The following is a 24439-nucleotide window of genomic DNA, read 5'->3' on the forward strand; positions in this document are numbered from 1 at the left end:
TGGTATCTAGAAAAAAAATACTAAAAGATGAGGCTTTTCTGGAAGCAATGCCACCCCTTGATCAAAACAGTCTTCTGGCTGAGCTGTAATGTTATTGCATGGAACATTACAAATGTACCATGATGAAGTAGTGGAAATTACTTCTTGCTTATACCAGTGGCCTCTTGTCGGTCCTTGAGCAAAACATAAGTATGTTGGAATTCTGTGCTCTGTGCATTTTCATGGGGAGTCAGACTTTCTTTATCAGGTACCATGTCAACAGTAAGTCATAATGTTAATTGTAGGCTACTTTTTTCTTACATCTCAGGCGCCCAGGATACATCTGATTTAATGTCACCTAGCAAACGTAGCTCTCAGAAGTACATAATAGAAGGGCTGACGGAAAAATCATCCCAGATCGTGGACCCTTGGGAGAGGTTGTTTAAGATTTTGAATGTTGTTGGAATGAGATGTGAATGGCAGATGGATAAAGGAAGACGGTAATAAATAGCTTATTTCCAGAATTGCCTATTGATTCTTTTGGATCCTTATAAAAACAAAATCATGCTTTTTAAATCTGTGTAATGCGTAGGTATAGTTTTTGGGCAAATTTTGTGACACTCAATGCAAAAGAGGATGGTTTTTCATTTTATCAAAACATTTCTGACTGGGCACAATGGCTCACATCTGTAATCCCAGTGCTTTGGGAGGCTGAGGTGGGCAGATCACTTGAGGTCAGGAGTTCGAGACCAGCCTAGCCAACATGGTGAAACCCCATCTCTACTAAAAATACAAAAATTAGCCAGGCGAGGTGATGCGTGCCTGTAGTCCCAGCTACTCGGGAGGCTGAGGTGAGAAAATCACTTGAACCCAGGACGTGGAGGCTACGATGAGCCAAGATCACACCACTGCAATCCAGCCTGGGTGACAGAGTGAGACCCTGTCTCTAAAAAAGAAAAAAAAAAAGAAAAACAGATTTCTAACTGAAATATGAACTCTTAAGACGATGTTGTGTTTGAACGTCTCCTAGATACTTCAGAGAAAAGAGAAGCTACTTAGCATGTTTGTGTCATGAAATCTTGATCACCACCCTAATTCAGAAGGGAAAAGTTACCATTTATATTGGACAATAAAGAATAGTTTTACATGCCTAGGGCAACATTTGGTACATGTAATGGTACCACCAGAGCTTTTCTCTAGACTTCTTGCTGACCAGCCCAGAGTAATCAAATAAGTTTCATCATTCCTTCCTTTTTAGAAGCTATGGAGATATTTTGCATAGAATGAAGGATCTCTGCAGATACATGAACAACTTTGATAGTGAAGCACATGCAAAATATAAAAACCAAGTGGTGTATTCCACCATGCTGGTCTTCTTTAAGAATGCATTCCAGTATGTCAACAGCATACAGCCATCTCTCTTCCAAGGTTGGTTTACAAATTTTAGAGTGTCCAAAAAGCCAGTTCATACTGTGGGGATGGTAAGGAAAATGAAAGTGTTTATCCAGTATTGCTGGATCCGAATAACTGTGGGGCAGTACCAGTCCTTTTTATAGTTGGCGATTTAGTTTTGTTTAGTTTGGCTTAATTGGTAGTTTTTATGTAAGTATATTTCATTAAAAGTTTCTATATCAAAGGGCGTAATGGTACTGCACAACTAAAAAGAGATATCAAATGCCACTATTTTGAAAATAACAGCAGGCTGGGCGCTGTGGCTCACACCTGTAATCCCAGCACTTTGGCAGGTGAGGCCGGTGAATCACTTGAGGTCAGGAGTTTGAGACCAGCCTGGCCAATATGGTAAAACCCCATCTCTACTAAAAATACAAATATTAGCTGGGCATGATTGTAGGCACCTGTAATCCCAGCTACTTGGGAACCTGAGGCAGGAGAATCGCCTGAACCCGGGAGGCAGAGGCTGCAGTGAGCTGAGGTCGCACCTTGCACTCCAGCCTGGGTGACAGAGCAAGACTCCATCTCAAAAAAAAAAAAGAAAAAAACAGCAGATGTAACAACATATTTAAGTAGATTTCATGAAGACATCACAAGAGGCAAAGATTTATTTAGTAAAATATCCATTTTATATATAGAGAGTATATGCATAAATATACTGTAGAAAATTTGAAAAATAGAAATAAGAGTGAAATCACCCACAATCCTTCCAGTATAATACAGCGGTCGTTTTTACGTATTGCCTTATAATATTACATATATTTAGATTTTGTTTGGAATTTGTAACCATAATGTAAGTATAATTTGGTAGTCTTTTATGGTACTTTAATGACTCATGATCATTATAAAAAGTGCAGATACATAACAAATACAAAGAAGGAACCGTCACTTGTATTCTATTAGTGACAGGGAATCTTTAACAATTTGGTATATATCTGTACAGTCTTTTCTTTCTATGTGCATATACTTGTTTGTTTACCTAATTGAGATCACACTGAACGTATTTTTAATGACGTTTCTCATGACAGTTGAGTAAGCTTCTCCCTTATTTTAAGAATTCTTTTCCTAGCTGCATTTTTAAATTTTTTTTAATTTTATTTATTTTTTAAGTCTCGCTCTGTCGCCCAGGCTGGAGTGCAGTGGCGTGATCTCGGCTCACTGCAACCTCCGCCTCCTGGGTTCAAGCAATTCTCCTGCCTCAGCCTCCCGAGTAGCCGGGATTAACAGGCGCATGCTACCATGCCCGGCTAATGTTTTGTATTTTTAGTAGAGATGGGGTTTCGCCATGTTGCCCAGGCTGGTTTTGAACTCCCGAGCTCAGGCAATCCTCCTGCCTCAGCCTCCCAAAGGGCTGGGATTGCAGGCATGAGCCACCGCGCCTGGCCTCCTTGCTGCACTGGTAAGTGTTGGTGTTTTTCCCCGTCCTTAGGTCCTAATGCCCCGAGCCAAGTTCCACTGGTTCTTCTTGAAGATGTATCGAATGTGTATGGTGATGTAGAAATTGATCGTAATAAACACATCCATAAAAAGAGGAAACTAGCTGAAGGAAGAGAAAAAACCATGGTAAGGCTTTCAAATATACTTATTAACAGATTGGATGGGACGCTTTGCTAGAGATGAATCTTTGTAAAATATGGCTTTGGAGCTAAATCGATAAAGCCTGGGTTTTAAAATTGTATGATATATTAATAATTACTAAGTCAGTGGTTCTCCACTGGAGGTGATTTGCCCTCAGGGGACATTTGGCAATGTCTGGAGACATTTTTGGTTGTCACAGCTTGGTGGGGAGGGGCCAGGGTTGCTGCTGAGCACTTTACAGTGTACAGGACCACCCAAAAGGTCAGTGATGAGGTGGAGAACCCATGGTATATGTTCCTTATACATGTTTTGACTGAATGGCATCGATTCAGTTTAAACAACAAAAGCAAAATGGCATTGGACCTCTAGAGCAGGGTGCAGTGTGGGGTACTGGCCTCGGAATGGGAAGCTCTGAGGTGGGCAGGGCAGCAGGAACAGCCTATGGGCAGATGCAGAAAAGATTTCATGAAGGAGGTCAACATTTGAAATCAGTGCTGAAAGGCGAAGGGTTTTGTCAGTTGGAATTGGGAGGTAGATTTTGTTGAGAGGGAAAAGTGTGCACAAAGATGCAAGAAGCCCGAGAATGTGAAGAATCGTCAGTCCTCTAACCTGACCAGGCAGTACCCCGAGCCCGTCCCTGCCTCCCAGCCTCTGCCCGTTGAAGCTGTGCTCTGTGGTTACAGTGCTTTTCCCTTGGATCTCTGCCTGGCTAGGTCCTTGTCACTTGGTCCCAGCCCAAACGAGTCTCCCTCTGAGGCTTCTCCTGAACACCCATCTGAAGTAGCTGTCTGGTTCTCTCTTTTTATTCCTCTTTTTTAATTCTCTGCAGCATCCTCCTTGCTGTCTGTTTTTTCTTGTTTATTCACTGACTGGTTTACTGTCTCTGTCCCTCCTTCACTAGAGTACAAGCTCCGTGGGGCCTAGCATTTTCTCTGCCTCGTCCTCTACCATACCCTGGGCATCTGAGTAGTGCCTGGGCTGGAGCAGGTGTGTGGTGAGCATCTGGTGAAGGAGGGAATTCTCATTGATCCCTCCTGGGTTTGGTGTCCAGGCTATGGGATGGCTGTTTAAACCTGGTCCAGCGGTTCTTCCTTCCGGTTTTTTTTGCCTGTCAAGCACTCATCTAGCAAGCCCTGTTCTCATAACCTGGCCTTCTACCCAATGCGGAATTTCCATCCATTTTTGTTTTCATGGTCTTAACTGATTTTGTCCTGATTATCATTCTATCCCTGAGTCTGCCCCAACCTGATGCAGGTCCAGACCTTAAAGGCCCATGAGCTCAGCTCACATATATCTTGCTTTGCTCACAGTGTTTTGTTTGTTTAAATAACCTAGTATTTAAAAATTAGAAACCAGGCTGGGTGCAGTGGCTCATGCCTGTAATCCCAGCACTTTGGGGGCCAAAAGAGGAGGATCACCAGCCCAGGAGTTTAAGACCCACCTGGGCAATATAGTGAGACCCCGTCTCTATAAAAAATGAAAAAAAAAACTAGCTGGCTGGTGGCATGCACCTATCATCCCAACTGCTTCAGAGGCTGAGATGAGAAGATCCCTTGAGCTCAGGAGTTCAAGGTTCCAGTGAGTGATGACCACACCACCGCCCTCCAGCCCGAGCAACAGAGGGAGACCCCGTCTATAAAAAATAAAAAAATAAAATAGAAACCTAGCATTTCTCATAACAATCCAGATTTCTGACTTCCTTTTTGTAATTAGGATATCTGATCACACTGGCCCCTGGTGGTAACCCACAACTGGAGTTGGGGGGTGGCCCACATCAGTTCTCCAGCCAGCTGACATCACAGACTCATGTGACGTCATAAATGGCTGGTGCTGGGACAGGCCTCTCCTGTGGGCATCTGTCCCCCACCTGCTGCATTCTTGCTTCAGAGCACGCTCTCAGTGCTTCAGAGTGTACTTGCACATTTCAAAATCAGTTTCTTTAAATGTAAAAACATTTGGAACTCACACTAGTCCCACCACATCTGGGGTCCTTTCATAAATTCCTGATCTCGTGTTGAGGCAGGAATGTTTTCTGTAAGCTGCAGCACTAGCAGACGCGCCATGTGTGTTCGTGTATGATATTAGGTTGCCGTTACTTGGCAAAGAACAGGCCCCTGATGAAACAGTACCTGGCAGATACGGTTGTGGTTTTTTTTTTTTTTGGTGGAGACAAGGTCTTTCTATGTTGCCTACTCTGTTCTTGAATTCCTGGGTTCATGCAATCCTCCCACCTTGGCCTCCAAAATTGCTGGGATTACAGGGGTAAGCCACTACACCTGGCCTGGTAGACAGGTTTTGATTGGAAAAGGTGTGTTTTTCCCAATGCAAAAACATTACTTAGGGAGGATAAGAACATGCAGCAGAACAGTGGGGTAGGGAAAAGTCACCAAGAACAGGGACTAGCAGGAAGATACCAAGCTCAGAAAGTGGAAAGGAAGGTGGGCAGTGGAGGGAGGTGCTGACAGCTTCCTGCGCACCTTACCTGAGATGAGCTTGAGGATTGGAGCTTTTAGTGACAGTAGTTGCACATATTTTTATTTATTTATTTATTTTTTAGGTTTTCTTTTATCATTATTATACTTTAAGTTCTAGGGTACATGTGCACAACGTGCAGGTTTGTTACATATGTATACATGTAGTTGCACATATTTTTAAATGATCTTAGTGGAGTAAAGATCTGCAGGAAGAATTTCATTTGGGTTATTAAATCAGTAAAATGACCTAGGTGGATTAAAAGATTGAGAAAATTCTTAGCAAAATAAAATTCAGTGGAGCTGCTTTTACCTTTACATTTTTTTTTTTGGCAAAACATCTGACTCTACCCAGCGGTATTTCCAATAATTGCCTTTCTCTGTAGCCTTCTCTTTTCTGTGGGCTTTATATTACTTGAGATGAAGAGCAAGAAAAGTAGAAATGTGTATTGTAAAATACAGAGGGCTTTACTAGGTAAGTGCAGACAAATGTACTTTCTGACCAGGACCTTGCACTGGGGGAGGAGAGCGAGAGAGGGGTGACCAGTGCAGGGGAGTCATGCGCAGTGAACCAAAGATAACTAACAGTTATTCTCTGACATTATTTCTTAGAGGACGCAGGCTTTAATTTTGTTGTTGTTGAGACAGAGTCTTGCTCTGTCGCCCAGGCTGGAGTGCAGTGGTGCGGTCTCTGCTCACTGCAACCTCTGCCTCCCGGGCTTAAGAAATTCTTGTGTCTCAACCTCCTGAGTAGCTAGGATTACAGGCACGTGCCACCATGCCCGGCTGACTTTGTATTTTTAATAGAGACTGGGTTTCGCCATGTTGGCCAGGCTGGTCTCAAACTCCTGGCCTTAAGTGATCTGTCCTCCTCGGCCTCCCGAAGTGCTGGGAATATAGGCATAAGCTGCCACGCCCGGCCCCAGGCTTTAATTTTATCCCAGTACATGCCAAACCATTATTTGGAAGCCAATTAAATCATGTCACGTATTAGAAAAAAAAGTAAACTATAAACAGGTGCTGTTTAAGCTGTGTCTCTCAATGTAAAAATCTAAATTTTGACTTTCATAAAATTGATATTTTTAAACTTTGCTCTAAAACCACCATAAGCAAACATAAGAATTTAACATCAGAAAAAAAATTCACTCAATTTTAGAAGTAAAAATGGAATGTGTGAGAGTATAAAGACAAAAAAAAATTAATTTTCAAAGCTAAATTGTTAAATTCAAAAAAATTGTATGTATGTGGTATCCTTTGATATAAAATTCATATCACGGGCCAAACTGGCAGCAATAATATGTTTCCATATATGACTATATTTATAACTGAATTAACCATGTTCTCCACATTCTTTAAGCAGAGTTCAGACGATGAAGACTGTTCGGCGAAAGGAAGAAATCGTCACATTGTAGTCAATAAAGCCGAACTTGCTAACTCCACTGAAGTGTTAGAAAGCTTTAAATTGGCCAGGGAGAGCTGGGAGTTGCTCTATTCCCTAGAATTCCTTGACAAAGGTAAGAAAGCGCATGTCATTGGTGCTGTTTGATGTTTTATATAAAATCATTACGCTACTTCAAATGTCAGGTCACTTACGGCAAATTAAGTTGATTACAGTAGTTCATGCATTTTTTTTTTCTTGTTTTGAGACGGAGTCTCACTCTTTTTCACCCAGGCCGGAGTACAATGGTGTTATCTTGGCTCACTGCAACGCTCACCTCCTGGGTTCAAACAGTTCTTCTGCCTCAGCCTTCCTCGTAGCTGGGACTACAGGCACGTGCGACCATGCCCGGCTAACTTTTTGTATTTTTAGTAGAGACGGGGTTTCATCGTGTTGATCAGGCTGGTCTTGAACTCCTGACCACGTGATCCGCCCACCTTGGCCTCCCAAAGTGCTGGGATTACAGGCGTGAGCCACCATGCCCAGCCATATTGCTGTTTTTATCTGCATTAACTCCATTGTCTGAAAAACTCAAAATCCAAAAACTATAGGAAGCCTATTTTCCTTTGAGTATACTGGGTATTTTGACATTGCTTAGAAATCACTAGCTGTTTGCTAACTAAGGTATTCTTACTACACTTTGGAATCGGGGCCCCTTATTTTACTTTTAGCCCGTGGACATTCATCCCCTGGCTGCAGTCATGTGTCATACAGAGCCCTTGGCCAGATGTGCTGTGTCATCTTTTCTAAGTAAATTCAGCACCGTTCAGTTTCTCTTTGTTACATTTGGGATTGTGAACACATATGTGACAATTTTGGAGGGGATCTTTCCTTTAGTTAGAAATTGATTTTTTTAAAAATGAATAAAACCTTTTAGTGTCATTGTATGTTTGTTATTTTAATTAGGTCAAAATAAAATGGGCCAGGCAAGATGGCTCATGCCTGTAATCCCAGTGCTTTGGGAAGCTGAGGCAGGTGGATCATTGAGCTCAGGAGTTAGAGACTAACCTGGGCAATATGGCAAAACCCCGTCTCTATAAAAAAACAAAAACAAAACTTAGCCAAGAGTGATGGCATGTGTCTGTAGTGCCAGCTATTCAGGAAGCTGAGGTAGGAGGACTGCTTGAGGCCGGAAGGTTGAGGCTGCAGTGACCCATGTTAGGGCCACTGTACTGCCAGCCTGGGTGACAGGGAGAATGTCTCTAAAAATAAGATAAAAATAAAATGGGACCTTGTTTTGGGGAAAGCAAAGTGGCTTAAAAGATAAATGAGGAAATACATGAAAAGCACTTTAAACAGTTCTTGGCACCTGGTATGTGCTCAGTAAGTTGTTAGCATCTACAAAATATTGCTTGTGTATTACTGATAAGTGTTGTATGTTTCTTCTCTACTTGAAATTCTAGAGCAGTGTGTTAGAAATCAAAGTCAAAGTTACTATACATTTTTGGTAGGTTGTCTCTCTTCTCTCTTACTGGATTTGTTAGTTTGTTTTCTGCTTCTTTGCTGCATATATTTGGTAAATTTGTTCTTGAATTCTTACTCAGAATTTACAAGGATTTGCTTGGCCTGGAAGACGGATACTTGGCTTTGGTTAAGAATCTTCCTCACTGATATGATCATCTATCAGGTAGAGTATTATACATATTTTAGGTACCTGTGTCTGTACAGCATGGCTATGGTGGCAAACCAGCTTTCCTATGCAGAATGTGTCATGTTCCCTCTTGGGCTAGTCCACTGCCTCCTGACACCTGTTCTGTTTTCAGTGGCTGAGGGGGTATGGTCCATTTTCCTTTCAAAGTAACTATCGGCCGGGTGTCGTGGCTTACGCCTGTAATCCCAGCACTTTGGGAGGCCGAGGTGGGAGGATTGCTTGAGCCCAGGAGTTCGAGACTAGCCCTGGCAGCATAGTGAGACCCTGTCTCTACAAAATAAAAAACTTAGCCAAGTGTGGTGGCATGTGCCTATAGTTCCAGCTGCTCAGGAGGCTGAGGCGGGAGGATCACTTGAGCCCAGGAAGTCAAGACTGCACTGAACCATGATAGCGCCACTGCACCCCAGCCTGGGTGACAGTGAGACCTTGTCTCAAAAACAAAACGAAACAAAAACTCCAAAATGACAAGCCTGTACCTTCTGTGTTACTTTTGGTATATCCAATCACACCTCTCTGTAAAAGTAAGATTTTTACTTTTCGGTAAAAGAGGATTACTTCTCACCCTCCTCTCTCTGCTGGTGGAGTCTGCCTGGCTGTACTGTTCTCCAGCATCTTAGACCTTGAATGGAGATAGTCGATAATTCACGAATGAGGTGGTGTCGGAATGGGCAGGTTGCTGCTTCCATCCTTCATAAAGGAGAAGTGGTGCTTGTAGTAAAATATTTCTAAAGAAATGTTATATCCAAATGTGCTGGATCACAGGGCCTGGTTATTTTCTTTAGTCTCGAGACCTAAGACCAGAAAGAAAAATCTTCATCCTTATAAAGTACCGCCAGAAAGAACTCCCACCTGGCTTTAATTAAGTTGATTTGATTCTATTGCCAATTCTCCGTTTCTTCCTCAGATGATCAAACCAAGCTACCGTCTTTGTATAGTTGCTTGCTCGTTGCTTCGTGAACCCTGGAACGGTATTTTTTAAATTTCTTTTTTTAACAGCGATGCTTTTCCCCTCCTTGCTATTCTATCTTTCTTAGGGTCAATATAAAAAGGCGATAGCCAGCCTGCATCACTTAGCAGCTCTCCAGGGATCCATTTCTCAGCCACAGATCACAGGGCAGGGGACCCTGGAGCATCAGAGGGCGCTCATCCAGCTGGCGACGTGCCACTTTGCGCTAGGGGAGTACAGAGTGAGTACTGCACACATACATGCCTGCCGCAGGTGCACGGGGCCACCTGGCCTTTCTCCTTTCCCTAGCGTGGCTTTTCATTCAGTGCACGTTTATTTCAATTTGATCTTTCTGCCTAGATTTATTACTTAATCTGCTAGTGAACATCACAATGATTTTGTTTTACGTAATTTTCTCTTTACTACAGCTTCCCTGAAATAAGGCATCAGTACTTTTTACATTTCTTGTTCATTGTTCCATTTGTTGGAGGATTTTTCTTTTTATTATTATTTTTCTTTTTATTATTATTACACTCTTGTCTCTTCTGTTGTACTTGGAAACACAAGGCCATTATTAAGTGGGAAATGGAGATTTATATTTAGCTTACTCAAACTTCAGATTCTCTCTTTAAATGGTAATAACACGCCCGGGTGTGGTGGCTCACACCTATAATCCCAGGACTTTGGGAGGCTGAGGCCAGCACATCACCTGAGGTCAGGAGTTTAAGACCATCCTGGCCAACATGGTGAAACCCCATCTCTATTAAAATACAAAAATGAGCTGGGTGTGGTGGTGGGCACCTGTAATCCCAACTACTTGGGAGACTGAGGAAGGAGAATCACTTGAACCTGGGAGGTGGAGGTTGCAGTGAGCCAAGATTGTGCCACTGCACTCCAGCCTGGGTGACAGAGCCAGACTCTGTCTCAAAAAAAAAAAAAAAATGGTGATAATACCCAATAGGGGCAGATTTATAAATGGGTGTGTTTCCTCCAGGAGGTTTCAAGCCCTTCCTACTACAGGGTGGGGACTATGTTTTTATCTTTGAACTCTCATGACACCTACCACAGTACAATAAGTGTTTGAATTCAGTTAAAATGATAACCGTGTTGTTGTGTATGCAAGGACTGTATAAACTCAAGGCCACAGCATAACACAAACTGATTTCTTCTCAGCCCTCTATATGTTGTTGATCACTTTGTGATTAAAATCCCTAAATGTTTTTTAACTTGAACTTTGAAATATGATTACTAATTTGTCATTATGATCTTTAGAAAGGAACAATTGGAGAATGTGTAAAGCATTCAAAATTGAAAATGCTTTTCCACCATTATTTATATAATTATCCATCAGTTACTTAACTCTAAGTTTTAATTAATTCCTTTTAAGAACTTAAAAGGCAGCACGTATTTACTCACACCGACATACATATCTCAAGTAGAATTAGCTATACTGCATACTAACTTCATTGTAGTAGGGAATATAAACTACTGAACAAGACAGACTTGTCTAACTTAAACAAGACAGACTCATTTCCTTTGAGGGCTTAGTTCCAACCTCTGAGTACATCACTATTAGGCCTATGGGCAGTGTCAGACTGACCTGATTCCTGACTTCCCATCTTTAGCCCAGACTCAATATGTCCAGATGTAAGTGTCCTTAGTTCTCTGGCTGTCTTTGTCTGCTTGGGTTGCTATAACCAAATACCATAAAGTGGGAGGCTTGTAAACAATAGGAATTCATTCCTCACAGTTCTGGAGGCTGGGAAGTCCAAGGTGAAGGCATCAGCAGATTCAGTGTCTGGTGAGGTCCTGCTTCCCGGATCATAGAAGGGACAAGAGAGCACTGTAGAGTCGCTCTGATAAGGGCACGAATCCCATTCATGAGGGTTTTGCTCTCATCATCTACTCACCTCCCAAAGGCTGTCCCTCCTGATGCCCTCACATTGGGGGTTAGGTTTCAACATACAAATTTTGGTGGGAATGTAGACATTCAGACCATAGTACTGGCCCTTAGACACAAAACTTTCAAGTCTTGGTGGACTCTTACTCTAGCGAATCCTTTTGATTCTTCCAGTGTGATACTAATCTCTTTGCTATATTACCTTGTATTTCTATTGTCACCACCCTAATCCATGCCTTTTAACTAAGTTTTTGGCCTATCACCCTTTTTCCAACCCTATAAAATTATAATCGTTGCTTTCTAAAATACTGCTTTCATCCTTCTACTTAATTGAAGTATTGGTTTTCTTGGTGCTCAGTGTTGAATCCCGCTGTTGGCTGGGGAGTAGAAGCAGGGTGTGGGGAATATGGGAACCCTGAATTCAGGGGCACATGGTTTGAGTTAGGGAAAAAAGTATAAGTGTTTGTATAAGACAATGAAAAAAACAAATATTAGTTGATAGTCCTCAGTCATAGGCACAATAGGCATTCAGGGAAGGGTGTTTTCTTTGTTGGGTCCAAAGACGACTCAAGGAAAGATTGATAGAAAAGATTGGCTGGAGATGGGCATCGAAGGATGGCAGCTCATAGCTCTGGAGTACAAGTCCTGGCTAGCTCTGTGACATCGGTAGGTTACCTCATCCAGGCCTATCCAACTCCAGAGTTCAAGTTTTCAACTACCAGGCTGCTCATCTCTCTAAACTAGAGCTTCACAACCCTGTGGGCATAGGTGGGTTCTAGAGGTGCCAATATATGGATCCTGCAGCTTTTGGGGCAGTCAGCCATGACCTAGGGCTGCTGGGGCCACCCAAGGTCAATTGCTGCCAACCCTGAGCAGCCACACACAGGTTACTTTCAGGATGTGCCACAACATGAAAAGGGTCGGGAAGCATGGGTTTAAATCCCCACTTCCAGGAGTTCAACAGTGAGAACACATGGACACAGGCAGGGGAACATCACACACTGGGGCCTGTCAGGGGGTCGGGGGCAAGGAGAGGGAGAGCATTAGGACAAATACCTAAGGCATGCAAGACTTAAAACCTAGATGACGGGTTGATAGGTGCAGCAAACCACCAAGGCACACATATATGTAACAAATCTACACGTTCGGCACATATATCCCAGAACTTAAAGTACAAAAATAAATAAATAAATAAAAAATTACCTAGAGACCCAGAGATGTCTCTGGCCTTTTGCATAAAAGAAGAAAAAAAAAAAGCTCCAATTCCTCCTCTGGAAAATAGAGAACAAAAGGGTTTGCTTGACACAGATAAAAGGCTCATTGCATGGAATCTGACTGTTGTTAGGAGAATTTGAGTAGATAGAGAGGGAGCGGTGATGCAGACTGTCTGGATCAAGGGCAGCCTGCACAGAGGCACTCGAGGCTCCTCTCCACCAGCAGTGCATCCGTCCAGTGTCTCATCTGTGTCCTAGACCAAACCGCTGGCCCTCAAGTAAATCACCTAAACCCATATATAGCCCTTCCCCATGTCTTTCTCTCCTGCCTGAAAGGCGTCTTTTCTGCATTCCAAATCCTTCCTCTCTTTAAGGCTTAGGTCAAGATAACCTTCCTGCCTGAAGCTTTTCTTGCTAGTTTCTCCTGTGTGTATTTTCTCCTGCATTTTAAGTTATGCTCTATATCATACTCCTTAGACCTCTGCTACATTTTTTATTGTTAGTTTTTCTATGCAGTGAGTTAGTCAGTATCTTTCAGGCAGGGACATCTTTCTTTTGGCTGCTGCTGTGCTGTTGAACACCTCAGTACTTAATGCTTGGTTAATTTTTAAGTTTTGTTTTTTTAATAGCAAAGAATGGATTAGTGTTCCCTCTAAAGTCTAGTACATAGCTTTGAGTCTTATTCTTTACTCTTTCTGTATTCACTATTGAGCAATGGTAATGATCACATAGAGAGGTAGAAATACAGACTTCCATGTACACATTGCCTGATTGTATGCTGCAAATATTTTGGTACTTTATTTGATTTCAGTTCAGAAAGCTTCAAGTTAGTTCCTTTTTGGTCTTTTCTGCTTTAGATGACATGTGAAAAAGTCCTTGATTTGATGTGCTACATGGTACTCCCCATTCAAGATGGAGGCAAATCCCAGGAGGAACCCTCGAAAGTAAAGCCCAAATTTAGAAAAGGTACAGTGACATGTTTTATGACTATTTTGTAAAAATAGCTTTAGAAAGCCAGGCACGGTGGCTCACACTTGTAATCTCAGCTACTCGGAAGTCGAGGCGGGAGGATAGCTTTTGAGCCCAGGAGTTTGAGACCAGCCTGGGCAATGTAGTGAGACCCCATCTCTTAAAAAATTTTAAAAAGAAAAGAAAAATAGTTTTAGGACCCAAGGCTGAACAATGTTTTACAGTTCCTAATGAGATAATACTGCTGCAGGGCTTGCCAAATTGTATAAAAAGTTAATCCCTTTCCAAGTTTTTCCTTGGCTCTGATTTCATGAGCAGCTGTAAATGTCTTTCTTCCAAAGCTCTCTTCACTTCCTGAGTGTGTTATCTCTTTGACAAATTTCAGTGAACTCTTTTTCCTGTCTTTACAATTCTAGAAAAATGTGTAGATGATTAATTAGGAGGTATCTGTCAGCACATCCCTCTGAAACCATTCTGAGCTTCAGCTCAAGCTTCGTGTTGCTTGAAAAATGAAATGTACAGCTGATCTGAGTTTGTTAGAAAAAGATACATAAATTAAACTTGAAGAAAATAGATGACAGGAAAGAATAATGCTAAGAGCAGAAGTCAATGAAATAGAAAACAAAATAGAGAACATTAATAAAACTGGAAGTTTTTTTTTTGAAAAATATTATAAAATTGATAACCCCCTAACAAGATCGATAAGGAGGAAGGTGAACATAAATTACCAGTATCAGAAATGAAAAAGGGAGTGTCACTACAAATCCTACTGAAATCAAAAGGACAGTAAAGGAATACATTATGAAAAACTTTATGCCAATAAATTTAACAACTTAGATGAAATGAAAAAGTTTCTTAAACACAATTTACCAAAATTGACACAAAAAATAAACAGAAAATCAGAATGTTCTGCCAGGAACAGTAGCTCATGCCTGTAATCCCAGCATTTTGGGAAGCCAAGGATGGCAGATCGTTTGAGCCTAGAAGTTCGAGACCAGTGTGGGCAACATGGTGAAACCCCATCTCTACTAAAAATATAAAAATTACCCGGGTGTGGTGGTACACACCTGTAGTCTCAGCTACTCAGGAGGCTGAGGTGGGAGAAGCATTTGAACCTGAGAGGCAGAGGTTGCAGTGAGCCGAGATCACACCACTGCACTCTAGCCTGGTCAACACAACCAGACTCAAAAAGAAAGAAAAGAAATCAGAATGTTCAAGAAAGAAAGAAAGAAAGAAAATAAATAAATCAGAATGTTCCCTTAGCTATTAAGGAAATTAAATTTGTTATCAAAAACCTTCCACAAAGAATTCAGGTTCAAATGGCTTTACTGGTGAATTCTATCAAGAATTTAGGAAGAAATAGTGCCAATTCTACACAAACTCTTATCAGAAAATAGAGGAAGAGTCCCAATTCATTTTTAAAGGCTGACACAATAACCCTGATAGTAAAACCAAACAAGAGTATCACAAGAAAAGAACTTTAAAGGCCAGTATCCATCATGAATTATAATAGGTGTCAAATCCTTAACAAAATATTAGCAAATTGAATACAGCAATATAGAAGGACAATATATTATGACCAGGTATACCAGGAATGCATAGGCGTTTGAACATACAAAAATCAGTGGCCAGGCATGGTGGCTCATGCCTGTAATTGCAGCACTTTGGGAGGCCGAGGCAGGAGGATCACGAGGTCAGGAGATAGAGACCATCCTTGCTAATATGGTGAAACTCCATCTCTACTAAGAAATACAAAAAATTAGCCAGGCCTGGTGGCAGGCACCTGTAATCCCAGCTACTCGGGAGGCTGAGGCAGGGGAATCGCTTGAACCCGGGAGGCGGAGGTTGCAGTAAGCTGAGATTGCGCCACTACACTCCAGCCTGGGCGACAGAGTGAGACTCCGTTTCAAAAAAAAAACCAAACAAACAAAAATCAGTGTAATTCACTCCATTAGCAGACAGAAGGAGAAAAATCATGACTGTCTTAGTAGATGCATACAGAATTCAATATCAGTTCATGATAACAAAAATCTTAGCAAACTAGGAATAGAAGGAAACTATTTTTTAACATCAAACTTAACTATGAAGTATTGAATGCTTTCCCCCACTAAGATTAGAAACAATACAAGGATGTCTGCCCTCACCACTTCTGTTCAATAATCTGGAGATTCTAGGCAGTACAGCAGGCAAGAAAAGTGAATAAAGGCATAAAGATCTGACAAATATGAGTACCTTTATTCACAGTTACATATTTGGCCAGGCATGGTGGCTTATGCCTGTAATCCCCGCACTTTGAGAGGCTGATGCAGGTGGATTGCTTGAGCCCAGGAGCCCAAACCAGCATGGGCAACAAAGTGAGATCCCGTCTCTACAAAAAATTTAAAAATCAGTCAGGCTTAGTGGTGTGCACCTGTAGTTCCAGCTATCTAGAGGCTGAGGCAGGAGGATCGCTTGAGCCCAGGAGGTCAAAGCTGTGGTGAGCTATGATTGTGTCACTGCACTCCAGCCTGGGTGACAGAGAAAGATTTCCCTGTCTCAAAAAACAAAAACAAAAAACCCAACACAGTTACATATTTGGCTATGTAGAAAACTTGAGGGAATCTCCACAAATCCCCAAGGCTGGGCGCAGTGGCTCACACCTCTAATCCCAACACTTTGGGAGGCCGAGGCAGGTGGATCACTTGAGGCCAGGAGTTTGAGACAAGCCTGGCCAACATGGTGAAACCCCATCTCTACTAACAGTACAAAAATAAGCCAGGTATAGTGGCACACACCTTTAATCCCAGCTACTCAGGAGGTTGAGGTGGGAGAATCACTTGAATCTGGGAGGTGGAGGTTTCATTGAGCCAAGATTGCACCACTGCACTCCAGCCTAGGCGACAGAGTGAGACCTTGTCTCAAAAAAAAAAAAAAAAAAAAAAAAAAAATTCCAAGACGTTTTAGTGTATAAAAAATCAATTCAATTTGTATGCTATTAATAAGCAATTAGAAAATGAATTTTTTAAGATACTATTTCTAATAGCATCAAAAAAACATAAAATACTTAGAGGTAAATTTAATGAAAGATATGCAAAACCTCCACTTTGAATATCAGAAAACATTTCTGAGAAAAATTAAAGATTTTTGAAAATGGACAGATCATGTTTCTATATCAGAAGATTCAATATTATTATGGTGCCAGTTCTCCCCACGTGTATCTGTAGATTCAATGCAATTTCAAGCAAAATTACAGCAGACTTTACGGTTTTTGGTGGTTTTTTGCTAGAAGTTCACAAAGTGATTCTAAAATGTAAGTGGAAATATTACATAATCTAGAATAGTCAAAACAGGTTTTAAAAAGACACAATTAAGTGACTTATACTACATAATAACAAGACTTAATATACAAGCATAATAATCAAGACAGAGTTGACAAAATATCGACATAAGAATGGAGAATCCAGAAATAGACCTGCATAGATTTGATCAAATGATTTTCGATGAAGGCATCAAAGTAATTCAATAAGGAAAGGAAAGACTTTTCAACCAATGGTGCTGGAGCAGATTACGTTGTATATGTTTGAAGTTTTCTATAACAAATGGTCAAAAAAAAAAATCTAGCCCAGACTTCTTCAAAAATTAAGTATTTCTGCAGAACAGAAAGTTTCTGGTTGAAACTCATGACCCTGTAGATGAAGACTCACAGCTTGAGAAACACTAATCTAAGGTGTACAACTAGGAGGCAAGGCATATAATTAGGTAATGACATGTTCAACTTGGTAATGCTAAGTTAGTTTCCAGAGTGGCTGCATGACTTTATATACCTTCCAGAAACTGATTAGGTGGATAGGACTGACCTAGCTGACTTCAAGACTTATTTTAAAGCTTTAGTAATTTAAGACAGGGTAGTATTGGCACAGGGGTTGACCAGTGGAACAGCATAGAAAACTGAGAAATAGATGACATTAAAATTCAGTGGGGGAAGAATGAATTTATTCAATAAGTGGTACTAGAACAATTTATTATCCAAATGTAAAAAACGACAATAAAAAAATGAGATCCCCTCCTTCACACTACATAGACATCCTTTAAATTTTAAGGTTGAAATGTGACAGCAAAAACTCCAAAACTTCCAAACTTTTAGAAGAAAATTTAAAAATAGAAAGATTAGTAAATTTGATCACATTAAAATTAAAATACCAACAAAGGCTGTTACAATCAAAGTGAAAAGATAAGGCATAGGCTGCCAGAAAATTGTCTATCACACAAAATCAACAAAAACTTAGTATCTAGAGTTTTGAAAGAGCTCCTTCAGACCAATAGGAAGCAATTATCCAATCCCCATAGAAAAATAGGCAAAGGACAGGAAGAACAGATTCACAGGAGCAGAAATCCAAATGGCCAAAAACTATTTGGAAAGATTCTCAACCTTTTGTCATATGGGCAATTCAGAATAAAACAATAAACTACCATTTCACACACATCAGAATGCAAAAATTGAAGAGGATGTGAAGGAACACAGTGCCACGTGCTTCTGGAAGGTGTATAAAGTCATGCAACCATTCTGGAAACCAACTTCCCATGACCAAGTTGAACATGTCATTACCTAATTATTAAATGTACCTCGCGTCCTAGTTGTATACCTTAGATGAGTGTTTTTCAAGCTGTGAGTTTTCATTTACAGGGTCATGAGTTTCAACCAGAAATTTTCTTTTTTAATGAGATAGAATTCAATAATATTTTAAGACGACATCTCAGACAAGAAGAGAGACTGTTATTCCATGCACCTTTTGTTTTGGATCTATCACATTATGTAAGTATGTGTGTACAGGATCCCATGTGAAAAATATTTATTTCTTGCTATCTTGCCTCTGAGTAGAGAAAGATAACAGACATAAAGAACACAGACCAGAAAGGAAAGATTGGGATTTTGCTTTGAAAGCTATTGCTTAAAGTTATTTCCACAAATGTACAAGAATATGTAAGAATGTATATTTATCATTGTAATAGTGAAAAATTGGAAATGTCAATATCCTCTGTAAAAGGAATGCAGACAACAGAATACTATATAACACTGAAAATGAATGAACTAGAGCTATGTGTATTGATATTGACCAGTTGATAAATCTGAACCACATGAAGTTGAGTAAAAAAAGCAATTTGCAGAAGGATACATACAAAATGACACCATTTATATAGTAGACTGAAAGCATGCAGAACAATCCATTGTTGTTTACGTGTGTAACAGTCATAGGAATGACAACCACTGCCTTCAGAATTATGGCGACCTCTGCGATGGAAGAGAATGGGATCAGAGAAGGATACACAATAGGCTTTAACTGATTTTGTGATTATTGATATTAGAAATGTTTAAAATTAAGATATTAACATTTCATGAAGCTGAGTGGTGAGCACACCAGTGTTATATTCTCTCTATATAACTTTGTGTATATTTGAAATGTTTTCTCATAAAAAGTATTTAAGCAAGTTTAGGAAAGAATATTGATAAATGAAATCTAGAGACCATCAAAAGCCAATTTCACCATCACAAAGTATAATTGTGTTTCAAATATAATTGAAATTGTGTGACTGTTGCATATTCTCTTTTTTGTTGTTGTTAATGAAAGCATCTTAAACAGTTGCCTTTCAAAGCTGTTATCTTTGATAATAACATACATTAACCTAACATTGTGGACTTCTGTTAGGTTCGGATCTGAAGCTCCTGCCTTGTACCAGCAAGGCTATCATGCCATACTGCCTCCATTTAATGTTAGCCTGTTTTAAGGTAAGCTTAAAGTTGATTAGCTTGAAAAAAAATGTAATTTCAAATATTATTCTCATGACTCGAGAACTTGAGAACCTTGCTAAGGATTGTTATTTTAGTACTTTTGAGGGCAGGCCCAAACAGTTAGAAAAGCACATGGGCTACTAATTAACAAATCTATATTAAATAATGACTGCGCTAGGCAAAGAGAAGTAGGAAGTTCTCCCCGTCCTCAAAAAGTGTAATAGTGGGACAGATATGCAAATAACCTTGACTGTTGTAGTGTTTGGTAAATATTTTATCAATATAAATATATTAGCTACAAAGAAAGGGAATACAAATTGCGGTTAGGTTCATGGAGGGATGATGAGTTTGTCATTGTAAAGATGTGCTAGATTAAGCATGTTAGGTGTTGAGATCAACACCAGTAACAGCCCAACAGTTGGGAAAGTTCCGGGACTTGAAAGAACGCCAAGGCCCTTGGCTACAGGTAGAGCAGAGCCTTAGAGCAGGGAGGCTTCATTGTTTCTGGAAGGTTTGTTGGCCAGAGAGTAAAACATTGGGTCTCCACTTCAGTGCAGTAACTCCCACTTAACTCATCATCCATATCACTTTTTTAGGGCAACAAAAACAATTTAAAGTGTGATTTTATGCATAACCGCTCATTTGAAACAAAAACTGTTTTGACCATTTCTTTAGTTCACACTTCTGCTTATTTCCTTGTGGCTCACCACCTTTCCTTCTCTGCAATCCCATGTTCTCTACAAACAGTTCTCTCCTGGATGGCCTCTTGCCCACCTACTCCCATCTGCTCCCTTTCAAAGAAATCTTCAGATTTATTTCTCCATTACACAGGATGAATCAGAGTTCTCTGCCCCTGATTCTCATATGCAAAAGCTTCAGGCCCACCCATGTCCAACTGCCATCTACACACTGCCAGCAGCTGTGCAGAGGGAGCCTGAGGCTTCTTTGGTTAGAATCCACCCTCCTTAGAAGGCAGCTGTGATGTTTACCAGCCATTTCGTTGTGCCTTTGTTTCCTTCTTACTCTAATGACGTTTATCACACATTTGCATATACAGCATATTTTTGGAAAGTGATGTTTGCTGTATTTCAGATTACCCTGTGACTTCCTTTTCCTTCTGTCTTGTATAAATCTTTGTCTTGCAGCTTAGAGCTTTCACAGACAACAGAGACGACATGGCATTGGGGCATGTGATTGTGTTGCTTCAGCAAGAGTGGCCACGGGGCGAGAATCTTTTCCTGAAAGCTGTCAATAAAATTTGCCAACAAGGAAATTTCCAATATGAGAATTTTTTCAATTACGTTACAAGTATCCTTTTTTCTTGTTTAAGCATAACACATTCTGATTTTCTTTAGAATGAATACATGATAGAAAAAGAATGAACCATTCTGGATAGAAATAATGATTTTTACTATTTTGCAGCGAAGAGAAGGAATGGGGATTAAAACTGGGGCTGTGGCAGTTGATCTTCTGAAAGTCGTGAAAGACATGATTCAAGGAATTGGGAATCTTACAACCCTCTTCCATTTTCCACTGCTAGGTGACTTCTAAGAAGGTACGCAAAATGCCTCCAGTAATAGCCTACAGGTTGCTGATAGGTCCAGCTTGCCCGGTTTAGTCAAGGAATATAATACTAATAGTTCCTCTTCTTCCATCTGTCAAAAGAATGCCTCCTGTAGCCTCTGGGGACAGTGGCTGTGCCCTGCAATCACTTGTTAGGGCACCCTGCCATAGCTGTCTTACCTACCAATGAGTACCCACCAGAGATGCTGCACAGCACAGTAGCTGCTTCTGACATTAGGTAATGCTGTATTTCACACTGCTTATTAGGGAAAGACCTTTGAATTAAAGGTTAGTTATCAATTTGGGTGTTTTTACTTCATTGTTTATCTTATTACATTATTTCTGAATTGCAAGGAATATAAATGATATTCTTGTTCAGGTGCTCAGAGCAATAGTTTTTATTTTTATTTTGTTTTTTTTTAGAGTTGGGGTCTTGCTGTGTCACCCAGGCTGGAGTGTAGTGGTGTGATCATAGCTCACTGCAGTCTTAAACTCCTGGGCTCAAGAGACCCTCCTACCTCAGCCTTCTGAGTAGCTAGGACCACAGGTGTGCACTACCATACCAGGCCAAAGTAATAGTTTTTAACCATGGTTTGGGACAGATATCTTTTGAGAATCTAATGAAAGTTACATAATTTTTCACTAGAAAAATGCATACATGAATGTCATCGACATATTGCATAAAATTTGGGTGACTCACAGAAGCTTCCTCCTCTGATGCATCTATAAACCCTTGCACCCCAGTTATGAAGAAGTAATCACTTGATTTTTATGAATTTTATGTTCTGTAACACCAAAGAATCCTCCCTACTTTCACCTCCTCTTTCATTTCTTATTAAGAAAACAAAAAAATTTTGCTCTTGTGACCATGTAGTATTAATTATTATCGATATGGAAAACATGTTGTCCTCATGCTCTTTAGCCTGGCACATCTCATGCCAAGAGTTATCTGTGCGAGGGAGTTTAGTGGGTATAAGAATCAGGTTTTGGCATCAGACAGATCTGGGTTCAAATATGGAGTCTGCAGTTAGTGGGGTAGCAATGGGCAAGTTACTCAACTGCCAAGACCCCATTTCCTTATCAGAGAGAACTGGCACCTTTTTTAGTGGGATGGCAATGGGCAAGTTACTCAACTGCCGAGACCCCATTTCCTCATCAGAGAAAACTAGCACCTTTTTTTACATGTGGTTAACCTGAATCTGGCCTGCAGATATTGATATGCTGGAGGAATTTGCCTACTTGAGAACTCAGGAAGGTGGGAAAATTCATCTGGAATTACTACCCAATCAAGGAATGCTGATCAAGTAAGCATGTTCTCTTTTGCTCTTCCATGCTGAGTGCTCACCTTTTGTGTCTTTGTATGAAGTATTTGTAAATGTCTATACCTATCAAAAATTTAATACAAAGGACTTTAAACCTGGTCTCTGTTATGATAGTTTGATTCTGGGTACCTTTTGAAAAACTTGCATTTCCTTAACTACATTTCTTAAAACACTTTGCTTAAATTGGGGTATTTTTGTCACATTTGCAACTTTTTCACTAGACAAAAGTCTCATTCATGATATCTTTTACTTTCAAAAATTTATAGGGTGAGTCTATAAGTTTCTGATTAGTCACAGAGTGCCTTTAATTAAGAACAGTTGTGTGGCCAGGCATGGTGGCTCACGCCTGTAATCTCAACACTTTGGGAGGCCAAGGAGGACAGATCACCTAAGGCCAGGAATTCAGGACCAGCCTGGCCAACATGGTGAAACCCCGTCTCTACTAAAAATACAAAAAAAAAAAAAAAATTATGTGGGCATGATAGTGGGCACCTGTAATCCCAGCTACTTGGGAGGCTGAGGCAGGAGAACCGCTTGAACCCAGGAGGTGGAGGTTGCAGTGAGCCGAGGTCGCGCCATTACACTCCAGCCTGGGCAACAAGAGTGAAACTCCATCTCAAAAAAAAAAACAAACAAACAAAACAGCTGTGCTTAATTAAAATTGTGCTGGGTTAGAAAAATTCTTTAGGAAAAACTACAGACTTTTTATTTATAAACTACCTATGAAGCCCTCCTATGCAGTCCTCATGACTTACATAACAACGAAGTATTAATAGCCAGGTATAGTGCCTCTAAGAACACACCTGTCCCAAGAAATGATGGTGGGAGTGGTTGGTCTCCACCATGCTCCCCTGAACTCACAAGATGTTACTAAAATTCCGGGTTGGCCCAGATGAAAATGCCAAATTAGTGACCATTTATGATTTTTAAATAGCTCATAAATCTTGCTTCTCTCCTTCAATCCTCATTGTAGTTTGGGTAATATATCCTCTCTGCTGTAAATGCCACGTGTAGTTTTATTTTCATACTTCCTCCTTTGCTTCCTGCACATTCAGTGTGTCTGTAAGTCAGTGTTAGAGTTTCTGCAAGAGACTGAATCCTGAATGAGAAGAAAGTACTGCTAAAACTAAAAACATTTTTCTTTTTCCCTCAGTTGTGGAATAAACTAGTTTTCAGTGGTTGAAAGCAAAAATCCACATCTTGTTCTATCTTGATAGTCTTAGAAGTGCCTAGGGAAAGAAGTAAGAAATGTTCATTTTAGATTTCTGTAACCTCAGTAGTTTGCTGGTAGCAAACATTTCTTTTTGTGTCTAGCAAGAATAGGGTCTTGTGGACTCCATTCTCAAGAATGGAAAGATTAAGTGGTTTTTTCTCCTTCATCTTATAAGTGTTATTAAATTATAAACTTTTAAAATAAAAGAACAGTGCTCTTTTTAAAAATACACGAGACCTTTCTGCATTGGTTTGCTTAAGCAGGATGGACAAGGACTGGCATCTTCCAATCCCCATTTACTTTTCTAAGATCGTGAATCGAAACTTTGGGAAGAATAACTATGTTGTTCAAAATATTCTTAACAGTGTTTGGGGATAAAGATTACCTTTGGATACGGAAGCCCAGGTAACCCCTTTTGTATTGTGATTTGTTTTCTAGACTTTGAAACTGGATATACAAATACACCCTGAATCAAGCTTTTTAGTTAATTCCCATCAGCAGTCACTATACGAGTTAATATAGAGACAGCCATAGTGGAACCGAAGTCTGTGTACATAGGATTAAACCTGCAGATGATTATCACTTTACCTAGATAATGCCTAACTGTTAGTGCAGGTGTGAGAGATGGATTGTCAAAAAATCAACAGTTGAACCTCAGACTTCATTGTACTGAACCTTTCTTCTTCTACCAGTTTTTACTGAGCTGAAGAGTGACATAAGTCCAAGTGGACAAACCCTAGGATGAGGAATGAGAGCAAGGGGAGTGTTGGGTACCAGCTAGTATCACAGGGAAGAGTGTTTGGAGTTGTTTGTGTAAAGGATACCCATCATGCACTTCTAACTAGTGAGGGAGAACTCCAGGGTCTCCCACCTTGATCAATACAACCCTTAATTTCTTCTAACTTTCTATAGAAGACAAGCCTCTTAGGAAGGCTGCAGTTTCATCAGTTTGGAAGCAGGAATAGGGATTATTCCT

At 40.4% G+C, this 24439-nt stretch overlaps 1 protein-coding gene across 33 annotated transcripts in view, besides 1 other annotated feature; it reads left to right on the top strand.

The window, feature by feature from the left end:
• Positions 1–24439, top strand: part of INTS10 (integrator complex subunit 10) — a 34652-nt gene that overhangs the window by 6150 nt on the left and 4063 nt on the right. For 11 of the 33 annotated variants that reach the window (NM_001353511.2, NM_001353512.2, NM_001353519.2 and 8 more), the window contains 10 exons: positions 308–479; positions 1238–1407; positions 2861–2994; positions 6841–6994; positions 8463–8545; positions 9604–9756; positions 13487–13595; positions 19283–19362; positions 20511–20673; positions 22139–22232. In NM_001353511.2, coding sequence (NP_001340440.1) covers positions 308–479; positions 1238–1407; positions 2861–2994; positions 6841–6994; positions 8463–8545; positions 9604–9756; positions 13487–13595; positions 19283–19362; positions 20511–20673; positions 22139–22232 — 1312 coding nt within the window. The other 22 variants (NM_001353513.2, NM_001353505.2, NM_001353510.2 and 19 more) reach the window with 16 other exon arrangements.
• Positions 20364–20463: an enhancer, noted in NCBI's record as "active region_27063". NCBI's record gives its function as "activates an Ori minimal core promoter by ATAC-STARR-seq in GM12878 lymphoblastoid cells {active_cell/tissue: GM12878}" and the evidence as "EXISTENCE:reporter gene assay evidence [ECO:0000049][PMID:35858748]".

This window comes from Homo sapiens, chromosome 8, assembly GCF_000001405.40.
Source record: "Homo sapiens chromosome 8, GRCh38.p14 Primary Assembly".
Classification (NCBI taxonomy): domain Eukaryota; kingdom Metazoa; phylum Chordata; class Mammalia; order Primates; family Hominidae; genus Homo; species Homo sapiens.